The sequence below is a fragment of the Homo sapiens genome, chromosome 2 (assembly GCF_000001405.40).
Source record: "Homo sapiens chromosome 2, GRCh38.p14 Primary Assembly".
Classification (NCBI taxonomy): domain Eukaryota; kingdom Metazoa; phylum Chordata; class Mammalia; order Primates; family Hominidae; genus Homo; species Homo sapiens.
In genome coordinates this window covers 233,804,459-233,824,130 of record NC_000002.12, presented here as the reverse complement: position 1 = coordinate 233,824,130, position 19,672 = coordinate 233,804,459, and the positions used below count along the sequence as shown (strand labels likewise).

The 19,672-nt window shown below is 50.8% G+C and overlaps 1 protein-coding gene across 15 annotated transcripts in view, besides 1 other annotated feature; it reads right to left on the bottom strand.

Moving 5' to 3' along the window:
- MROH2A (maestro heat like repeat family member 2A) overlaps nt 1-19,672 on the bottom strand; it is a 57,695-nt gene that overhangs the window by 9,288 nt on the left and 28,735 nt on the right. For 6 of the 15 annotated variants that reach the window (XM_024452842.2, XM_011511076.3, XM_024452845.1 and 3 more), the window contains 18 exons: nt 19,584-19,636; nt 19,020-19,127; nt 16,589-16,708; nt 16,276-16,398; nt 14,808-15,005; nt 13,215-13,337; nt 12,172-12,251; nt 10,353-10,461; nt 9,454-9,549; nt 7,246-7,350; nt 6,006-6,129; nt 5,361-5,479; nt 4,662-4,814; nt 4,075-4,229; nt 1,848-2,007; nt 1,575-1,768; nt 1,113-1,250; nt 461-575 (listed from right to left, as the gene is read on the bottom strand). In XM_024452842.2, coding sequence (XP_024308610.1) covers nt 461-575; nt 1,113-1,250; nt 1,575-1,768; nt 1,848-2,007; nt 4,075-4,229; nt 4,662-4,814; nt 5,361-5,479; nt 6,006-6,129; nt 7,246-7,350; nt 9,454-9,549; nt 10,353-10,461; nt 12,172-12,251; nt 13,215-13,337; nt 14,808-15,005; nt 16,276-16,398; nt 16,589-16,708; nt 19,020-19,127; nt 19,584-19,636 — 2,273 coding nt within the window. The remainder of the gene's footprint in view (nt 1-460; nt 576-1,112; nt 1,251-1,574; nt 1,769-1,847; nt 2,008-4,074; nt 4,230-4,661; nt 4,815-5,360; nt 5,480-6,005; nt 6,130-7,245; nt 7,351-9,453; nt 9,550-10,352; nt 10,462-12,171; nt 12,252-13,214; nt 13,338-14,807; nt 15,006-16,275; nt 16,399-16,588; nt 16,709-19,019; nt 19,128-19,583; nt 19,637-19,672) is intronic. The other 9 variants (NM_001367507.1, XM_024452841.2, XM_024452839.2 and 6 more) reach the window with 8 other exon arrangements.
- Nucleotides 800-1,300: an enhancer, noted in NCBI's record as "H3K4me1 hESC enhancer chr2:234731477-234731977 (GRCh37/hg19 assembly coordinates)". NCBI's record gives its function as "activates a minimal SCP1, AML or CMV promoter by ChIP-STARR-seq in primed H9 embryonic stem cells {active_cell/tissue: H9 hESC(primed)}" and the evidence as "EXISTENCE:reporter gene assay evidence [ECO:0000049][PMID:30033119]".

Below are 19,672 nucleotides of genomic sequence, written 5' to 3'. Positions count from 1 at the left end.
ACAGAAAACACTGGCCGGCCTCTGGCCTGGGCTGTGGTTGGTTCCTAGGGTGCATTGGGCATCATTGCCCTCAGGACGCTCCAACACTCACTCTGAGATAGGGTCGCTGGGCCCTGCCTTCCCACCTAGCAAAGCCCCTCGGCCTCTCTGAGTCCTCCTGCAGGAAGCCTGCCCCAGCGAGAACCCAGGTGCCCTCCCTGGGTCCCCTGGGTCACTGTACTTGCCTGGGTCACACATCAGTTAACTGCAATGCTGCAGGGCTCAGCCTGTCTTTCCAGCAGGGCCTGCCCTGCACTACTCATGTGATGAATGAATGAAGGAGCAGATGAGAGAATGAGCACTCAGAGGAGGGGCGCTCGCCTGTCCCCCCGACTCCCATGCCTTGGAGACAAGCCATCCCCAGAAGAATCCAGGGACCCCATCCCCTCCGCTTGCACCCCGCCCACACCCGGTGCCTCATTTCCACGCAGACCGCTGTGCTGCTGATGCGGCAGCTCAGGACTTCTGAGTCCATGCCCCTGAGCACCAGCTCGGCCAGCCTCTGCCTGTGGCCCTCCACGTGCTGCATGCACAGCCTGCAGAGGAGAGACAGTGCCAGGTCGTGGAGGCGGCCCCACCCCTGCCTGACGTTTGCCAAGAGCTGGGCAGGGCCACATCGGTGCCTGGACCCTGGTGGCAAGATAACCCCGGAAAGATGTCGTAACATCTCTGGGTTTCTCCCTCCTCTTCCTGGGGACTTGGTTGAGGTTGTCAGTGAATCAGTCAATGTCTATCTCCTTTTTACAAAGGGGACTAGAGTGAGGGCGGCTCCGGAGTGACTAGGACCCCAGAAGTAACTCCCATCCCTGGCCTACTCTAGACCCTGTGTGGCCCTGGGGGCGAGCCCCTCCTCTTTCTGCCCTCATATCTGCTCTGAGCAGGAAGGGTTCGAATAAAAGGTTCTCATTCTCTTGCACACCACTGCCATCCTAGAGTCACAGGTTGGCGTGGCAGTTCCCCCAGAAAGAAGGCCTTCAGCCATGACTGGACCATGTCCTCACAAGGAGCCCTTCCATCCAGCAAGGAGGTGCCTCTGCAGGTCCCCCTGCCACCCTGTGGGAGCCAGGGCCCACCTGGCCAGCAGGCTCACACCCTCCAGGAATGTCCCGCCGTCCTGCAGGAGGTCCCACACTGCCTGCTCGTCCAGGGTATGTGCCAGGTGCTGGCTCTTGACTCTCTTGAACAAGAGCTGCATGGACTTGATAGTGACCCTGAAGGGAGGTGGGAGCTTGTGATGCGCTGCCCTGCTGGGAGCGCATGGCCTGGGGAGGCTGCTGCAATCTGTGAAGTGGGGCCCCAGTGCCTGCCGGGCCCAGCCCAAGGGACTGAGGGAAAGGTCCAGGGAGGGAGTGGATCTGCAAGCTCTGAAAACCACACCGTGCTTGACACACATGAGAACGGCATTTTGAGTAAGATCAGATCCCACCAGGAGGAGACAGAGGGCCCCTCACTGGAGTCCACTGGCAACTAAGGGGCAGCCCGTGGCTACAGCCAGCCCAGGCCTGCTGCCTTGCACCCACCGCCCTCGAGAGCACCTTTGCAGGTTCATCTCCTCCGGCAGAGGAGTGGTGTGGACCAGCTTCCACATCTTCAAGACCGGCGGGGCGGCCTCTGGTCGGTGGCTGCTTCCAAGCTGCAGCAGGAGGGTGTAGATGAGGTCAGGGAGGAAGTCCGGGAGCTTGTCATTCTCATCCAGCTTCTGAATGAGAAGGTGGATGGTGCACAGGGTCTGCAGAGAGAAGGTCCAGGGCATCGGGCTCCTACCCAGAGACCCCTGAGGAGCCTTGGGGCCTGCGCCTGCAACTCACCATCAGGGGGTCCACCGCAGCCAGGCGCCAGATGTCAGCCTTGGAGGTGGCACTGATTCTGGGGCTGAGCCGTGACTGCAGCCGGCCCATCAGGCTGTGGAGCATGGTCCGGGCGAAGGGCACGTTCTCCGACACTGCCAGCCACACCTCTGCCAGGTGGCTAACCAAAGTCAGGGCACAAGGACTGTGAGTTTCCTGGCATGTGCCCTGGCAGGTAAGAATCCCTTTCAAACCCTTGGCAGCCCCCTAAGTAGGGGTTGGACTCTGGGGACTGAATCTCAGGGAGGCGGAGGGAGCCGCCAAAATTTGCGTGCTTAGAACCCAGGCCCCTGACACTATACTCAACCCCCTTTCTCTGCACGGGCTCACGGTACCTTTGGGAAAGCCATGGCCCCCACGGAAGCCCCACCTCCACTGCTAGATGACCACAGAGACCCCCACCTGTTTGATGACTGTACGGACATGTCCCACAATACCTCCTAGTGCCCAATTTGCATCAGGTTGGTTGTCGGTAGCTTTCTGATATTATATCACCTAACCCTCCCAACACATCTTTGAGGAAGGTATTTTGTCTCCCTATTCCACAGAAGAGGGAAGTGAGGCTTGCAGCAGTCAGGCCACCTGCCAAACTACAGTTGGAAAAGGGCCTTCCTGGTTTCCAAGTCCAAGCCCATGGCCCTGCTGAGAAGGGATGTCCCCCAGGATAGGTACAGAGGCACAGAGAGCGGGGCATCTGGGAGGTTCTAAAAGGCTAATGTGAGTCTAACAAGTCTAAATGTAATTTAACAAGGTCAAGTTGAACAAAGAGATGTGTAAACTGACTATTGGAACCCACAAAACCAATGCACAAGAGCAGGGTGGTGAGTTTGGGTCTGAAGGGAGATGTGCCTGGGGGCCTGGGGGCAGGAGTAAATGGAGAGGGGGCAGAGTGCACTCATCAGCACCCTCTGTAAAGAAGCCATGGGGCGCAAGGAAACAAGAAGGGGCACCTCAGTCCTACAATGGCAAGAAGCAACTACGAACAATGACACAATCCTGGAAGACAACCCCAGGCTCTGGAATGCAGCCCAGCTGACACCCTCATCACAGGCTTGTGAGACCCTGAACAGAAAGCCCAGCTAACCCATGCCTTGACTCCTGAACCATGGAAATTGTGAGCTAATCCATGGATGTTGTTAGAAGCTTCTAAGTGGGTGATAATTTGTTATTCAGCAATAGCAAACCAATACAGATTTTGGCAAACTAAGTGAAAGCCAGTGTGACGTGGCCACCAAGTACGCCAGCCTGACCCAGGGCTGCACCGCACATCCCCCTTACCCCCACCCAGCACTGCCTCATGAGCCACTGAGCCTCATTAAATCATGACACCTGCACCACCCTCCCAGCTGGACCCACGGCAGGGCTGCCCTTATGAGAAGCAGCTCCACAGGGGAGTCATGCCTGCATTTCGGGCAGGTCAGCCCTTGTGGCTCTGGAGCCGGGGCCTATTTTTAAAACTCTTTTCTCTGTTCCAAGCCTCTTACTTAGCCTGACATCTCCTCACGTCCCTGCACCAGCACAGGCTCCACTGCTCTGGGGATGACTGTCTAGCTCTTTCTGGCTCCTCCCAGATGAATTCTGGTACCACCCCAAACAGACTCCCCACATGTGGGGAGACCATGCCCAGCTGCCTGTGCCATCATGCTGTAGCACACACAGGAGCTCTGCACTGTCTGCAGAGAAACACCAATAAAGATGGGGTGGCTCTGCATCACTCATGGCCACCTCTGGGGCTGGAGGTTGGGCCATTCTCCCCTTGGAGACTGGGACAAGTCGCTTCCCCTCTTAGGACACATTTTGAAAGAAATAGGGACAGCCTGGAATATATCCAGGGCTTGCTCATGCCTTGGAGCCGCACCCTGCAGCCCATCTGCTGGAGCTCTGTTCACAGGGAAGGAAAGGGCTACTCTGGGAGAGAATGAACTCCACAGACACTGTCCCGGGCATGTGGGGAGCTACGGGTCCAGATTCCAGCTCCATGTGGCGAAGTTCTACAAGCCTGGGCTCTGTCAGTGGCTCGTCGGAGGCTGGCACCTCCTGCAGGAGGTACAGGAAGAGGGCTTCGACCTCCTTCAGGGTGGGGCAGGGTACTGCCCAAGGCTCCAGGCTTCTGGGACACATCGGGGTGGTGAGTTGGGCATGGTCAAATGGCACAGGAGGCCGGGGCCACCTCCTCCAGGGCACCCACCTCTCCATGGGCAGTGGCTGCCTCAGGAGCGATGTGAGGATGGTCTCCTGGTGGTGGTGCGCCAGCAGCAGGATGCCGTCAATGAGAAGGCGCCGCACCTCTGGGTGGTCCACCACCGGCAGGTGCACCAGGATGGCACTCAGGATCTCGGCCACCTAGGTAGGGATGGGGCATCACCGGGGGGCAGCCCAGGCCCCTATGGCCTCCTGCACTAACCCCATGACATGCCCCTGCTCTAAGGGCTCTGGCCCAGTTGGACAATGGGGAGGTTAAGCGCCCAGCACCCTCTCTAGTGCATCCTCTGGTCTCTGCCTCAAACTCATTTTCCCAGGCTTTCAGTGCAGGAGGTGGTGTGCTCTGGGGAGGAGAACCTTGATCTCCAGGTCAGCGTGCACTTAACTAACGAGGCTACCTTCAACACGCTTCTTTCTAGCTCTAGAACTCTGTTTCCTCCTCCTCTTTAGCAGCCAGGGGTTGGGGGAGGCATTCTCAGCGAGTGCTGGTGAGGCCCTCGTCCTTCCCTCTCATCTGGGCACACCAGGCAGCCCCAGCCCCTCTCTCTGGTGGCCCTGCCGCGGCTCTGCCACCTTGTCCTCCAGCTCCTTGGCCCGCATCTGGAGGAAGAAGGCTATCCAGGTGACAGAGGCCTTGTCATGCTGCAGGTTCATGGCCCCAGTGTTCTCGCAGAGCTTCTGGATGAGCGAGACCACCTCATCGCAGCTAAACTCCATGCAGACCACCTAGGAGCAGAGCGGGTGACTCCCCTGCCCTCCCCTGCCACTCCATGACTGCTGACACTCTCTCCTCCCCTGTCCCACCCCATGGCCCCACTCCAGGCTCCTATCCTCTCTCAGACCATGGCCATGGCCTCCTCCTGGGCTGAGCCAGAAGGGGCTGGTCTCCTGAAGTCCCCAGCCCCTGTTTGGGTGGCTCCAGGCACTTCCATTCATCACTGTGCCATGAGCCTGCCCACGTGCCCACACCACGTGCAGGGCCTGTCCAGATCATTCCCATGGCCCTTTCAGCACTCAGTGTGGCACATCACAGGGACAGGGAGAAGACAGCAAAGCAGATTAAGCACCTACTGCGTGCCAGAGACAAAGTAGGGACATGACATACTGCAGGCCCTTTCAACACAGAGGGCAGCAGTTGGGCCAAAGGCCGTGGAAGCTGAGACCCCAGAAAACTTGGGCTGTGAGGCCAGCCCAGGAAGGCCTCCCTCCCTGAGAGACGGCCAAGGGCCCTGAGACCAGCCTGGCAGCCCAGGCAGGCTCCCCGGCTGTCACCTTGGCGATTCTGGAGGATGCACAGAAGATCTTCTCCACATCTGTGCTCTGGAGGTCCCCCTTACATTTCTCAAGCTCCTTCTGCTTGGAAGGGCCCCACAAGGAGCAGGTCTGGCTTGCTGTCGGGAATACAACTTCAGAAATGACCAGCAGGGACAAAAGGCCCAGCCACCCCCCCTTCGTGGCTACCTCCTGCCCTGGCTTTGCAGGCCTGAGCCACCCTCCAGCATGTGAACGTCCCAGGCGTTCTGACCTTTGCTCTCACTGGTCCTTCCCTGTGGCGGCCTCTGCCCGCACCACCTCTCCGCCCAGCTCAGAGGCCTGCTCTCCCTTGAACTCAGCTCTGGCCAGCTCTGTCACATGCTTGGCATCTGGGAGCTGACTTTCTCCCAGCCAGGCCCTCAGTGCCCAGCACATGCCCTCCATGGGTCAATCTGGGCTAATGAACCTCTCCTTCTGGAAGCTTCCATGGCCTGTTGGTGAACTCTCCCCTCACTGCTCCCTCTGATGGTCACCTGTGTTTGTCTCCATGCCTGCCTGCACAGAGGCCATCCTTCCCTCCAGGGCAGGCCGCAGCCCATACTCCTGGAGTCAGCCCTCTCTCCCTCCCAGAGGAGCTGGTCCTCATGTCCTGCCCTCTCATACCGTGAAGATCTAGCAGGCTGGACAGGACATTCATTGAGGCCATGCGGGTTCTTTGATGGGCATCACAGGTGCACGGGGCAATGAGTCCGACCATTGTGCCAAACTGCCCCAGCTTTAGGTGGATCTGAGGGACAGGAGACCGTGGGGCTCACACCTCTGTGCTCTCATGCACACCTGGGGCTGCCCAGGGGCAGTGTAAAGGACAACTTGATAGGGCAAACCCTGCTCTGAAACACCCATTTGGGGAAGGGGAGGGTGCCACTGTCTGTCCCCTGTCCAAGCATCAGCCTCCCCTGCCCACAGCTGGGCCCCTGGAGGCTGAGCAGCCTGGATCTGTGGGCCCTGGATCAGGACTCCCTCTGACTCAGCTCTGCTCAGTTCACAGCTCTGAACTTGGGCCCAGTTGTTCCTGTAACGAACCCTGGGGATCAAATCAGAGCTTCCTGCTCACTAGCTGAGCAGTCCAGGCAGGGTACTCTGCCTCTCAGTCTCATGTTTCCTGTCTGCACAGTGGAGATGATGATGGCACCTCCTCTTGCAGGGAATGTCATGAGAGCCCAGGTGAAGCCTTCCACACAGCCTCTGGCCTCACATGTTACTGAGTGTTGGACTTGGCCCCTGCCTCATTTTGCTGAGCCTTCATCCCCACCTCCATCCAGGTGCCCAGGACCAGGGTCCTCCTGCCCAGCCCACTTCTCTCCCTGCACCAGACGCCCATCCCTGCGCCCCAGACCCTGACTCCATCATCCTCCTGCCACAGCCATCCTGAGGACAAGACAGTCAAACAGCATGGAGCCAAAAAGTGTAGACAATTAAGTCTCATCAGGCTGTGTCAGATGGTCAATCAGTAAAAACACTACGTCGTTCTAGACATTTTAAGGGTTGCGGTACTTGTCAAGCTTTGCAAAATTTATGATTTTGCAGCACTTGATTTTCTCAAAGTAAATATTCATTTTCCTAGCCAATGTGGGGTTCATAACTATGTATCTTTTTTCTTAAAAAGGGCTCTCACCGCTACAGAAGCCACAGGCCCCACAAAGCCTGGAGCTCTGCCAACCACAATCCCACCCTCTCCCTCCCTGACCCAGCCCAGGGCACTAGGTCACTGCAGCCTCTCCCAAGGGGCCCTCTGGGGACAGAACTTGATTTCATAAGTGTTCCCTCATCTTCCAGATAGACACAGGAATTTTTCTGTGCATGTCAGAGCAGCAGGCTGGGGGCTGGGGACTCCTGGACTCACACAGACAGCAGTGCTGTGGACATAAATCCACATGAGATAGAGATGGAGGCTCACGGCCTTTTCCCGCTCCCATTCTTTCTCCGACAAGATCCACTTTTCCAGGAGCTATGGGTAGAGCCCAGAACACCAAAGTGGGTGTTAAAATCCTGGGGCCAGCCCTTTCCTGGCCAGCTTTTGCCCACCTCACCCTCCTACTCAGATCGACTTTCAATGCTTCCTTGTGGTTCTAGACAGGCCCCATCATGAAGGGAGATGAGGCTGTAGGCAGGGAAAGAGCATCCCCAGCATTCTCACCAGGATGGTGCTTGGCTGTTGCATTTGGCCTGGCTCCAAATGTCTGCCTGTAATGAAGGGCCAGGAGCACAGCCCACCCTGCACTCCAGATGGCCCCAGAGGCCGTTCTGATATAAAAGTTCATTTTAGAGCAAATGACATTACCATAGATAAACAGGGTCATGTCATCACAATAAGGGTCAGTTCATCAACCAGACATAACAATCCTAAATGTTTATGCACCTAATAACATAGCTAAATAATACATGAAGCAAAAAATGAAAGAGCCAAAAGGAGAAATAAACAAGTTCACACTATTAGTCAGAGATTTCAGTGCCTTTTTCTCAATAATTGATAGAACAAAAAGACAGAACATCAAAAAGGAGACAGAAAACCTGAAAAATACTATTAACCAACTTGGCCTAATAGACATTTTGAAACACTACACTTAACAACAGCAGAATATTTTTCAAATACACATGAAATATTTACCAAGATAGATGGTATCTGGGCAACAAAATAAATCTCAGTCAATTTAAAAGGATTTAAAATACGGAATTTAAGTATGTCATCAGAGAACAATGCAGTTAAATTAGGAATCCAAACCAGAAAGATTCTCGGAAACTCCCAAATATTTGAAAATCTCTAAATAACTTTCAGGTCAAAGAAGAAATCATAAGGGAAATTTAAAATGTTTCGAACCGAAATAAAATTAAAACGCAACGTATCAGGATCTGTGAGATGCAGCAAAAAAAAAAAAAAAAAAAGCAAAATCTAAGGACTTACATTATCTGATCCTGATTTCAAGGCTTATTATAATATAACAGTAATCGAGACAGTGCAGTATTGGTGTACCATAGGCAAACACATCAACAGAGCCAAATAAGTGTCCAGAAATACACCCACACGTACATAGCCTTTGATTTTCAACAAAGGTGCAAAGATAATTGAACAGAAAAAGGGCAGTCTTTTCAACAAAGGGTGCTGAAACAATTGGCTATCCATGTGCAAAAAATTAAAATAAACTTTGACCCGTACCTCAGACCATACAAAAATTAACTCAAAATATATCATAGACCTAATCATAAAATCTGAAAATACAAAACTTCTGGAAGAAAACATAGGAGAAAATCTTTGGACGGTTTCTTAGATTTGACACCAAAAGCATGATCCATAAAAGAAAAAAAGATAAATTCGACTTCGTCAAAACCAAAAACTTCTGCTCATTAAAAGATATTGGGAAATCAATAAAAAGGCCACAGACTAGAAGAAAATATTTGCAAATCACATATCTGATGGGTTGTATCCAGAATATGTAAAACCTGTAAAAGGTTCTATAAAAAGAAAGCAAACAACCCAATTTTTAAAAACCTAACCAGCACCCTTCAAAAGTGCCAAGGTTATGAAAGACAAAGAAGGACTGTGAAGCTGTTCCAGATGAAAGGAGAACAAAGAGACCTGACAGGTAGATGCACTGCCTAATCTGGATTATATCCTGGATCGAGGAGAAAACAGCTCTAAAGGACATTACTGGGGCAATTCATGAAATTTGAATATGGGCCATCAGTTTTAATACATGCATCGTGTCAACATTAAATGTCCTGAATTTGATCATGGTACTGTTGTTATATAAGAGAGTACTGTTACTCTGGATGTCTGCAGCTATCCGTGGTTCAAAAGATGTGTGTGTGTGGAAGGACAGAGGCAGAAGAAAACCGAGAAAGAAAATGTGACAAAGTATTAAGAACTGTGAATCTGCATGAAGAGTATCTTTGCACTATCCTTGCAAATTTTTAGCAGATCTGGAATTTTATAACAATGAAATCACTAAAACAATGTTGCATGCACTCCCCTGTTCCCCAGAGTCTGGCCCTCAGTCCAGCTTCTGGGGAGGAGTGGCCATCCCTGGCTCTGGCCCGCCACCAGGCAACTCACCTGCACCATCTCCTGCAGCCCCTTGGGGTCCAGCTGCCTCTGCAGGAGGCTCTCCATCAGCTGCTCCAGGGAGCTCAGGGCATTTGCATACAGGGTCTACAGCCAAGAGGGAGAGAGAGATAGGCGGCAATGAGGGGCACCCACAACCCCCCTCCCTGCAGGGAGTTCATGCCAGGGAGGGGTCTGGCAGTCATCCACTAACTTCTGTTCAGTCTGAGCTCTTGACACTTATTTTCTCAAGTGAAGTACAAGACAACCATTTAAGAGGGATTCACTTTACAAAGCAGGATACTGAACTCCTGGAGCCCAGTTCTGATTCTTCATCCAGGGCCAAGCCCTGGAGGCAGGGATGGCTACCTGTCCACAAAAGATTCCTTCTCCTCTTCCACAGTGTTGTCAGGGAAACAGCCATCTCATCAGGGACTACATTTCCCAGGACTCCTTGCATGGGTGGAGCCATGTGACTGTGTTTCAGCCAATAGAAGGAGGGCAAAATGACTCTCAAGTCTTCCCTAGACTTTCTCTTTCTTCTATCTATGCTGGGTATCAATACCCATTGATTGGGATCTTGGGATTCATGCACTGAGGATGGGCAGGAGGACTCCACCAGCCTGGGTTCCTGAATAATTGCACAAAGCAGCTCCATTTCCACTCCCATTGACAGCTGGGCTTGACTTGACTTGGGTGATAAATAAACTTTTATGTTGTTAATCCACTGAGATTTCAGGGTTTATGTTTCAACAGCTAGCATTACCTTACATTTACTGATAGAGCTTGCTACACTCCGCTGCCTCTAAACACTCAAAGGTGGTTCAGGAAGGTGGACTCTCAGCATGGCCCATGTTAATGTTAACTCCCAGGTCCTGACCCAGCAAATGAGGCATCCCAGAGGGACCTACCTTAATGGACTCATTGTCCTCTCCTGGGAGTTGGAGAGAAATTACAGAATGTATGCTGATATCCATCAGCTCACTGTTTTCCTCTGTGGAGTAGAAAGGCTTCAGCTTGCTGGAGAAGAAGCAGTGACAAGAGAGGAACAGTCATTGGGGAGTTGAGCTTCTGCTGCCCCACTGCCCAATCTGGGCACGGAAACACATCCTAGAAGAGGAAGAGGCCTACTTCTCCAGTTGGAGGCTCTGGCAAGCATCCCTCCCCAGGGGCCCTGGCTCTGACCAGTAACCAGTGTCCAGTGACTCTTGCTTGTGATTGAAGGGGAGATGCAGGGGTCCAAGGCCATCTCTCCTATCTGCTGTTGTCTACTCTGAACCTGTTAATCTGCTCAGAAACATTCCATTGCTCCTTGCCGACTGCAACTATGGAATCTGCCCTCCCTGGCTGGTGCTAGTCCAGGGGCTTTCAAGGGTAATGCTTGGACCACCATCACCAGCAGCAGCAGCAGCAGCAGCTTCACCTTGGAATTTATGAGAAACACAAATTCTATGGCCCCAGCCAAGACCTGCTGAATCAAAAATTCTGGGGGTGGACTGCAGCCATCTGTGTTTTGATAAGCCCTCCAGAGGAAGTTGCTAGTGATTGGTGCATGCTAGCTCATTCTTCTTCTAGCTCCTTCATCAACAATTCTCAAGCTTGATGCATATTAAAGATACCTCGAGGATTTTTTAAGGACCCCCAGGGACCACGTCCAAGCCCCAGGATCTGGGGTGGGACCTGGATATCCATACTGTTAAAAGTTCCCCATGAGTTCTATTGTGCCCCTAGAGTTGAGAGCCACCATCCTGCTTTAAACTCCTGCTCCCCCAAAGTGTCTTGTATTACACTCTCCTAGGAAGCGCCAAGTCCAGTCGTTCTGCCTAAGCCCAGGTCAAAAGCCAAATGCCAACTTTGCACCAAGCCTCTTGATAGCTCCTTTTGTATAAACCGAGTTGCTTTTGTTAGTAGCCCCTTTTTTTTTGTTCTCAGATATTTTTTTGCTGATGTGTGTGTGGGTTTACCTGTAAACACAGTCCTGTTAGTCAGCTTTGACCTATAATCCTGTTTGTATGTGTCTGTCTTATCTCTAAGTCCTTAAAAGGCTGGGACTAGGTCTTATGTATCTCTGTGTCCCTTCAGTACTCAGCATATCATTGTGCTTAGTTGATGTTCATGACATTTATTTTAAAATCTGCCTGTTTGATGCAGCTTAAAGTAACAGATAGTTCTGCTATGCGCCTAAGTAATGAATCTTCCCCTATAGGGGAGGTATTCTTAGAGATGACCCAAACTCTTTAAATACTAATTTTATAAATCCATAACTTCTTCCCCTTTCCCCCTCCCCACCAATGGATTGGCATCTCCAGGAAGGTAAGTCTTGGGCTTTAGATCATTTTGTACCAGTGGTATCAACAAATAGTTGACTAAGCCCTTCAACTCACTCACTGAGCCTGACTCATCTTGAAGGATGCTTGCAATGCTCTTCAGTGTTATCACTGTTATTTTGCTCAAAATATCCCCAATCAATGGAAGAGCAGCCCACCCATGTGCCATAAATCCAAGGAGAAGCACCCAACTTGAAATCTGGCTGAGAATTATAGAAAAGAGTGGCTGAGGCCGACCCCCATCATCTAGGCTGGCCCATTGCCCTGGGGAGCCTCCAAGTGAGACCCCTGCTACAGAGGGAGGAGAGGAAAAAGGAGGCACAACCCCTGAAGGAGCACCGAGGAATGGTCTTGAACTTTTCCCTACCCCTTGGGATGGGGTGAGGGTGGGAACCCAGCTCACCTCAGGTGCGAGAGGGCCTCCATCGCCAAGGCTCGCACTGGAGAAACCAGGTTGTCAGTCGGTTCTGCCTTGATGACCGCCTGTCCAACACAAGCAGGGGGTGGTGGCTTTTGGTGACCATGATGGCGGCAGCACTCCCCAGTGTTAGCATGAGGAAGACCTGGCACTTCCCAAAGTGTCTAACACCCCACATCTCTTTCATTCTTTTTAGGGCCATTTGGCTTTTGGCATCTTAGGGGAGGCAGCAGAGTGGGAGCAGGGCCCAAAGTGGGCCTGGGCTCCCAGCTCGCGCTGCTCATCTACTTGCTGTGTGCCCCTGGGCCAGCACTTCCTCTGCCTGAGCCCAAGTCCCCTTCTCTGTAAAACAAGACCTGGAGACCCATTTTACAGGGCTGCTCCAGGCTAGCGTGAAAGTACAGGTTCAAAGCTCCTGGCCAGTGAGAGCCAAATAAATCCCATTTCCTCCTCATTGCCTTCTGTTCCACCCAATCTCATGTCCCTTAAGGGCCACTTCCAGCACAACCCAAGCAGCTTTGAGAGGCCAAGGCACTGGCAATGACATGAGTGGGGAGGCCTGGGGATTAAGGACATTGGCGGCCCCACAGGTTCCATCAGCCTTTGGACAGTGGACGTTTTCTTTGTCTTACATCCTTCTGTGCATCCTTCAGGGCTTCACTCTAAGTCCTGCTTCCAGCAGATCCCTGCCCCTAAGGCCCTCCCACGGAGAGACAGGGAAGCTACAGCCAAGCCGGCCCAGGGAATCTCTGTCTATCAGGCCTTAACCAGCTGCCCTGGGCACTGCAGGACCCAGGACAGCCAGAATCTCCCACCCTGGTTTCCAAACAGTTGACTGGCTGTGAAACTCTTTATCAGATACAAAAATCATTCTCAGAACTCCTACAGTTAGGACAAAGCAGAGCCAAGACAGGGAAGGACTTCAGAGAGCTCTGCAGATGCCCTCAGGAACTTTGAAAACCTCTCACCGCAGGGAGTTAGACCCCAAAACCAGGAACAGGACCAAGGAGGTGCCCCACCCAGCTTACCACTATAATGCTGGTAAGAGTCGTCTTCTGGGCAAAGTGAAAGTCCTCCAGGTCCTTGATGTTGTTGATGGCCTTGGTAACCTGCACAACACTCTTCATGAAGGCCATTTTGAGACAGATGTCCTGAGCCCAGAAGGGGAAAAGGAGGGAGAGAATGTTTGTGAGCAGCCCCAGAAGAATCCAAGCTGCAGCTTCTGCTCCTGGACTCCCTCTGCTCTGAAGAAAGCGTTTAATGTTGAATGCTCTGAGAGATGGCCAGCCTCACTCTGTCCTTCGACCACATGAATGGAGCACCTGCCACATGGCAGGGCCACAGGCACATGGCGGGGATACGAGGTGAGGTGCAGCACCTGGGTCCACACGTGATATAGTTTGGCTGTGTCCCCATTCAAATCTCAACTTGAATTGTAACTCTCAGAATTCCCATGTGTTGTGGGAGGGACCCAGCGGGTGGTAATTGAATCATGGGGGCCAGTCTCTCCCATGCTATTCTCATGACAGTGAATAAGTCTCACAAGATCTGATGGGTTTATCAGGGGTTTCCACTTTTGCTTCTTCCTCATTTTTCTCTTGCTGCCACCATGTAAGAAGTGCCTTTTGTCTCCCGCCATGATTCTGAGGCCACCCTAGTCATGTGGAACTCTAAGTCCAAGTAAACCTCTTTTTGTTCCCAGTTTCAGGTATGCCTTTAGCAGCAGCGTTAACACGAACTAATACACCACGGAAGATGCCACCTTCCCAAGCCTCCTGAGGGCAGCAAAGCAGCTCAGGGGCCGCCTTCAGTGACCAGGGGCCCCGAGCCCTATGTGTTACCATAGAGGCAGGAGAGGTTATTGAGAAAATGATTGCTTTTACATGGATGAACCTTGAGAACATTATGATAAATGAAATAAGCCAGACACACAAGGACAACTATCATATGATTGCACTTAGATGAGGTACCTGGACTAGTCAAAGCCACACAGACAGGAAGAGTAAAGGTGGTTGCCAGGGCTGGGAGGAGAAGGGAATGGAGAGTTGGTGTTGAATGGATATAGGATTTTGGTTTTGTAAAATGAAGAATTCTGGAGACAGATGGCAGTGACAGTTGCACAATAACGTGAATGTACCTCATGCCACTGAACTATATATATATACTTAAAAATGGTTATGATGATAAACTTTATGTTAGGTGTATTTTGCCATAGTTTTAAAAAATAAAAACAGTTTTTGCTTTATTCTCTGTGTTTTCCCCTCCTTGCCATTCCAAGAAAATAGCCAGTTCCTTTGCATGTCTATGAAGACAACCCCACCTCTTGTTCCTTATGAAAGGGTCTGGGTCAGTGTCAGAGAGGGCCAGAGGCAAGGGCAGAGGGAGTGGGTAAGGCTGGGAAGAGGTGGGGCTCATCTTGTGGCTTCTGGAGACCCCACCCAGCACTCTGGAAGAGGGGCTATCCTCAACCCGCCCCCCAGCCCCTCTGCATGACACCAAAGCACAGAGAACAGCACATTTGGGCAATGGGCTTCCCACGTGCTGGGCATCAGGTAAGATGCCTGGATGTCCCCTGGGTAGGGATGCAGGAGCCCAGAGAGTGCCAGAAGGCTACTACCCACCAGCCTGGTCCAGAAGACATCCCCCCAGGCAGCAGATGGGGCTACCTGGCAGCTGCTGACATAATGGTGAATGATCTTAGCGGTGATGGGGCTGTCCACGAGGTTGAGGAGCAACTGGGGGTGGCAGTAGGAGGCCACGCAGCTATACATCACCATGAGGGCACTTTTCACTGTCTCCCGCCTCCAGGGATGGTCCTTCTACGAGGCCAAAGAGAAAAAGAACCACTGGGGGCAGCAGGGGCTGCTCCAGATGCAGGTGATGGTCTCTGGCCACACAACCAAAGGATCCATTGAGTCAGCTGGCGGTGCTTCACCTGACTGTTTTCTGGGTGCCTGAAATGTTCATCGTATTTTCATGCATGCATTCATTCACTCAGTGCATCTTTACTGAGCATCTACTAGACACCAGGCACTGGGCATGCAGTAATGAGCAAGACAGACTAGGGCTATAGACGCCCAGACCACCCATCACCTGTGGGGGGAGGTGCTCAAGTGAACACCCCTAAACAGAGGCTGCTTGCACACCTCATACCTTCACCTACCAGGCACCGGCTATGGGTCAGGCACACATGAGGCTGGAGAGCCAGCAGGAACCGACAGCCTCCACTTTGCCCTCACGGTGCTCACACCCTCAGAACAATCTCTGAGTGGGAGGAGATGTTGGAGGCCACCAAACCCACTGTGGATGGGGAGCAGGGGCCCCAGTGCCCTGCCAGACTGAGTAGAAATCTAGGTGTCGGGTCCTCTTTGCAGAAAAGCTGGAAGAAAGCCTGGGACTCTCTCGATTTTCTTCATCCAAACAACCAGACCCCAGGGCAAGTGTTCCAGGTCAAGGGCAAAGCCTGAGGCATGGGTGATGGTTTCAGATGGTTTCCCACTAGGAGCTCAGCCAGCTGGTGGGACCATCTCCTGTGGCAGGGAGGGGCAGCCTCCAGAGGATAGGGCCATGGGCTGTCTGGGTCCAAATACTGGCTTCACCAGGGAACCAGCCGCACGCCAATGGACAAGCTTCAGTGTTCTCACCCTGCAACAGTGGCTAGAGCCCCTCAATCCCAGCACCGTCCATCCACTGAGGCAGAGCTCCTAGTGTCAAGCACCCACTGAGCACTACCTGAACAGCTTCTTCAAATCCTGTGGGTCTGTGTGGGGCCTGGGACTCTACATTTCCAATCAGCACCCAGGGAGCCCCCACTGCCAGTCTGAGAACCCCACCATGAGTAGCAAGGGGCTGGGACTCCGTGACAGTATCTGGGTCCTGGAAAGGCCCACCCTGCATTTTTAAGATGATCCAATAGCAAAAGCTCTGTCCAGGAGGTCTCAGAGTAAGACAATGTCTCAGCCATTTTGATGACAGGAGACTCCGTGTGAGGCAAGTTTCCTACTGAGATCTAGAAAGGACTTTGTGTCAGTGCCCAGAGCACTGTGCTAAGAGATCCCAAGACCCAGTTGTGGAGGGAAGGTGGCTTACCCGCCAAGCACTGATCTGCCAGGACTGCTCTGACTCCTGGATCCTCTCCTCGAAGTCATGAAGCACATTCAGCACCGTTTTTACCTGGCCCCGGGCACACAGGCCAAAGCACATAATCACACCCTGCAGGGAGACCCAGCCAGCCAGGGTGAGGGCAGGGGCCAGTGGGCAGAGGAGGATCCCACACACACACGTGCAAGGCACACACACATGTACACACACACACACAAAACGCATGCAGCCACATGAACACACATGTCCCCGAGGGTCCAGAGGCATCTGGTGGACAGGAGGAGGCTGCAGGCACCCTCACCTCGCTGTCAAAGTCATTGCTGTAGTCCGTCTTGTACAGCAGCTCCAACAGCAGGACCTCCACCTTGCTGGCCTCCAGGCCTGTGGCCAAGGTGAAGCCCAAGGCCCGGTACAGAAAGCCCTGGAGAGGCAGAAGGGAGGAAGGAGCTCAGGCCTCCCTACAGCCAGCCTTCAGGGGGTGCTGTTGTAGAGAGTTTTCTACGTATTTTTCAATTTATTTTAATGTGCAGAAGATACTTGCACACACGTTTACAGCAGCACAATTCACAAGTGCAAAAATGTGGAAGCAGCCCAAATGCCCATCAATCAATGAGTGGATAAAGAAACTGATATATACATACATACATATATCAGTTTATATATACATATATCAGTTCATATTATATATATATATAATGGAATACTACTCAGCCACAAAAAAGAATGAATTACTGGCATTTGCAGTAACCTGGATGAGATTGGAGACTATTATTCTAAGTAACTTAGGAATGGAAAACCAAACGTCGTATGTTCTCACTCATAAGTGGGAGCTAAGCTATGAGGATGCTAAGGCATAAGAATGATACAATGGACTTTGCGGACTCAGGGGGAAAGGGTAGGAAAGGGGTGGGGGATAAAAGACTACAAATTGGGTGCAGCGTATACTGCTTGGGCGATGGGTGCACCAAAATCTTGCAAATTCCCATTTATTCATGTAACCGAAGACCACCAGTTCCCCAAAAACCTATGGAAATAAAAAATTTCAAAAAAATAAATAAAATAAGTGTTCAGGTTATTCTGGGAGGTCAGACTACATAAGGGCAGGCATGTTATACGTGTTAAAGGGGGAGGGGTAAGTTTGTTCAACTTCTGTGTAAGTTGAACCAATTTACACTCCCTCCAACAAACCTAAGCGCACCAATTTCTCCACCTACTCCCCAACATACGTCATGATCAGTGAGAAGTGGAACATTCTCACTGTGATGTGTTTCTTTGATTTTTAGTTGTGCTGATCATCTTTTCATATTCTCATGATCCGTTTTAATTCTTTGAATTTCTGGCTATATTCTTTTTCCCATTTTTTGGTGGGCTTTTTCTTTGTTATTTGTAAGAATTTTGTTTTATATTTGGAGACATAATAAGAGCAACCATCCATATTTCATTAAATCCTCACCACGACTCCATAAGGTAAATATTATTGTTTTTGGAGATGAGAAAACAAACAGGAAGTAGTAGAAGCACACAAAAAATGTTAATATCTATAAAATTTACCTCTTTTCCCTCGTCTTTCTTGGTTTCTTTGCAAGCATATAAAGGCTATTCCATGTTAACATTATAAAAATATTCATCAATATATTCTTCTAGTTGTTCCATGGTTCTATTTTATTTTGTACACTTAAGTCTTTGATCTGTTATGGAAGAACATGTTCTTCCTTAATGTGCTTCTTTTTCACTTTCTCTATTGTATTATTTTTAGCACAAGAGGTTTTAATTTTCATGATGTCCAATTTATTTCTTTTTGTCACTTGTGCTTTTTGGTGTCATCTCTAAGAAGGCTTTGCCTAACCCAAGGTCACAAGATTTATCCTGTGTTTTTCTAGAATTTTATAATTTTAGTTCTTTTATTTAGGTCTGTGATTCGTTTTGATTCAGCTTTATGTGTGGTGTGAGGAAGATATCCAATTTCATTCTTTTGCATGTGGATTTCTAGTTACCCTAGCCCCATTTGTTGAAAAAAACTATTCTTTCCCCACTGAATTGTCTTGGCACCCTTCTTGAAAATAAATTACCCATAAATGTGAGAGTTTATTTCTGGACTCTCACTTCTATTTTATCAATCTATCCTTATGCCAGTATCTCACTGTCTTGTTTACTGCAATTGTGTAAGGAGTTTTACTGCAGTTGTGTAAGAAGTTGAAATTGAGAAGTTTGAGTCCTCCAACTTTATTCTTCTTCTCATAATTTTGTTGGCTATTCAGAGCCTCTGGTATTTCCATATAAATTTTAGGATCAATTTTAGGATCAAAAAAAAGAACTAGCTTGGATTGTGATAGGTGTCATGCTAAAACTGAAGATAAATTTGGAGAGTATCACCATTTGAACTATAGCATCTTTCAATCCATGAACATGGGGTGCTTTCTATTTATTGAGACCCTCACTGATTTCTTTCAAAAATGTTTTAGAATTTTGTAGCAATGTGGTATAGTTTTGTGTTTACAAAGAAATACACACATGTGATTGCTAGCCAGAATCTGGAGGATCAACAAAACAAAGCAAAAAAATAAACCAAAACAAAACTAAAACCACCAATCCAGACCACGCTCCTCTCCTCCCAGGACCCTGTAAACAGCCACAGGTCCAGCTGATCTCACACACACGGTGTTATCCTCTCCACTCCCTCACCCCTGGAGTCTACTCCTTGTCCAAACTCTCCTGTCCCTATGAAGACAAACCTTCTCCAGAGAGGGGCTGTCAAAGCTCGCAATCTGGTTGTTCAGCTCTTTACTCAAGCGCAGGCTCCAGCTAGACCCCCGGGTCTTCTTGAGGGAGTTTCGCAGAAACTGGGGAGGCACAAGACGTTGGTGAGAAGGGCCAAAGGCCTTCATCCTTGTTCTTGCCTGGGCTCTGGGAATGCTACGGGACCTTGAGTACTGACTTGCCCTCTCTCGCTTCCCTTGCCCACATCTCCAGATCACTAAGTCCATAGATCCCTGATCCAGTGCTAATAATGATCTGTGGGTCTGAGGAATGGCTGTGGCTCTGGCGGCTAGCAGAAGGGGTGTCACTCCCTGCTGCCCTCCTGGCCACCTGGCTCTCGGGATGGAAGGTTCTCTCAGTTCTCCCCTGGGGATGGACACAGCTATAGACTTTGTAACTCCCAAGTCTTCTCTGACAGAAGGAGAACATGTCCTTTAGGGGCTTCTAAACTCCTCATGTGCCCAGCCCACCAAATGCCTTTCCATCTGCTCCCATCTTTCTCCTCCTCCCAGGCCTCAGCAAACTTGTTACCCGTTTACCTGAATCAGCTTGTCTTCCCAGGCTTTCTGATCCCAAGTGAACTCAGTATGTTCTGCAGGAACACATGTATGGTCACACATGCCACTTT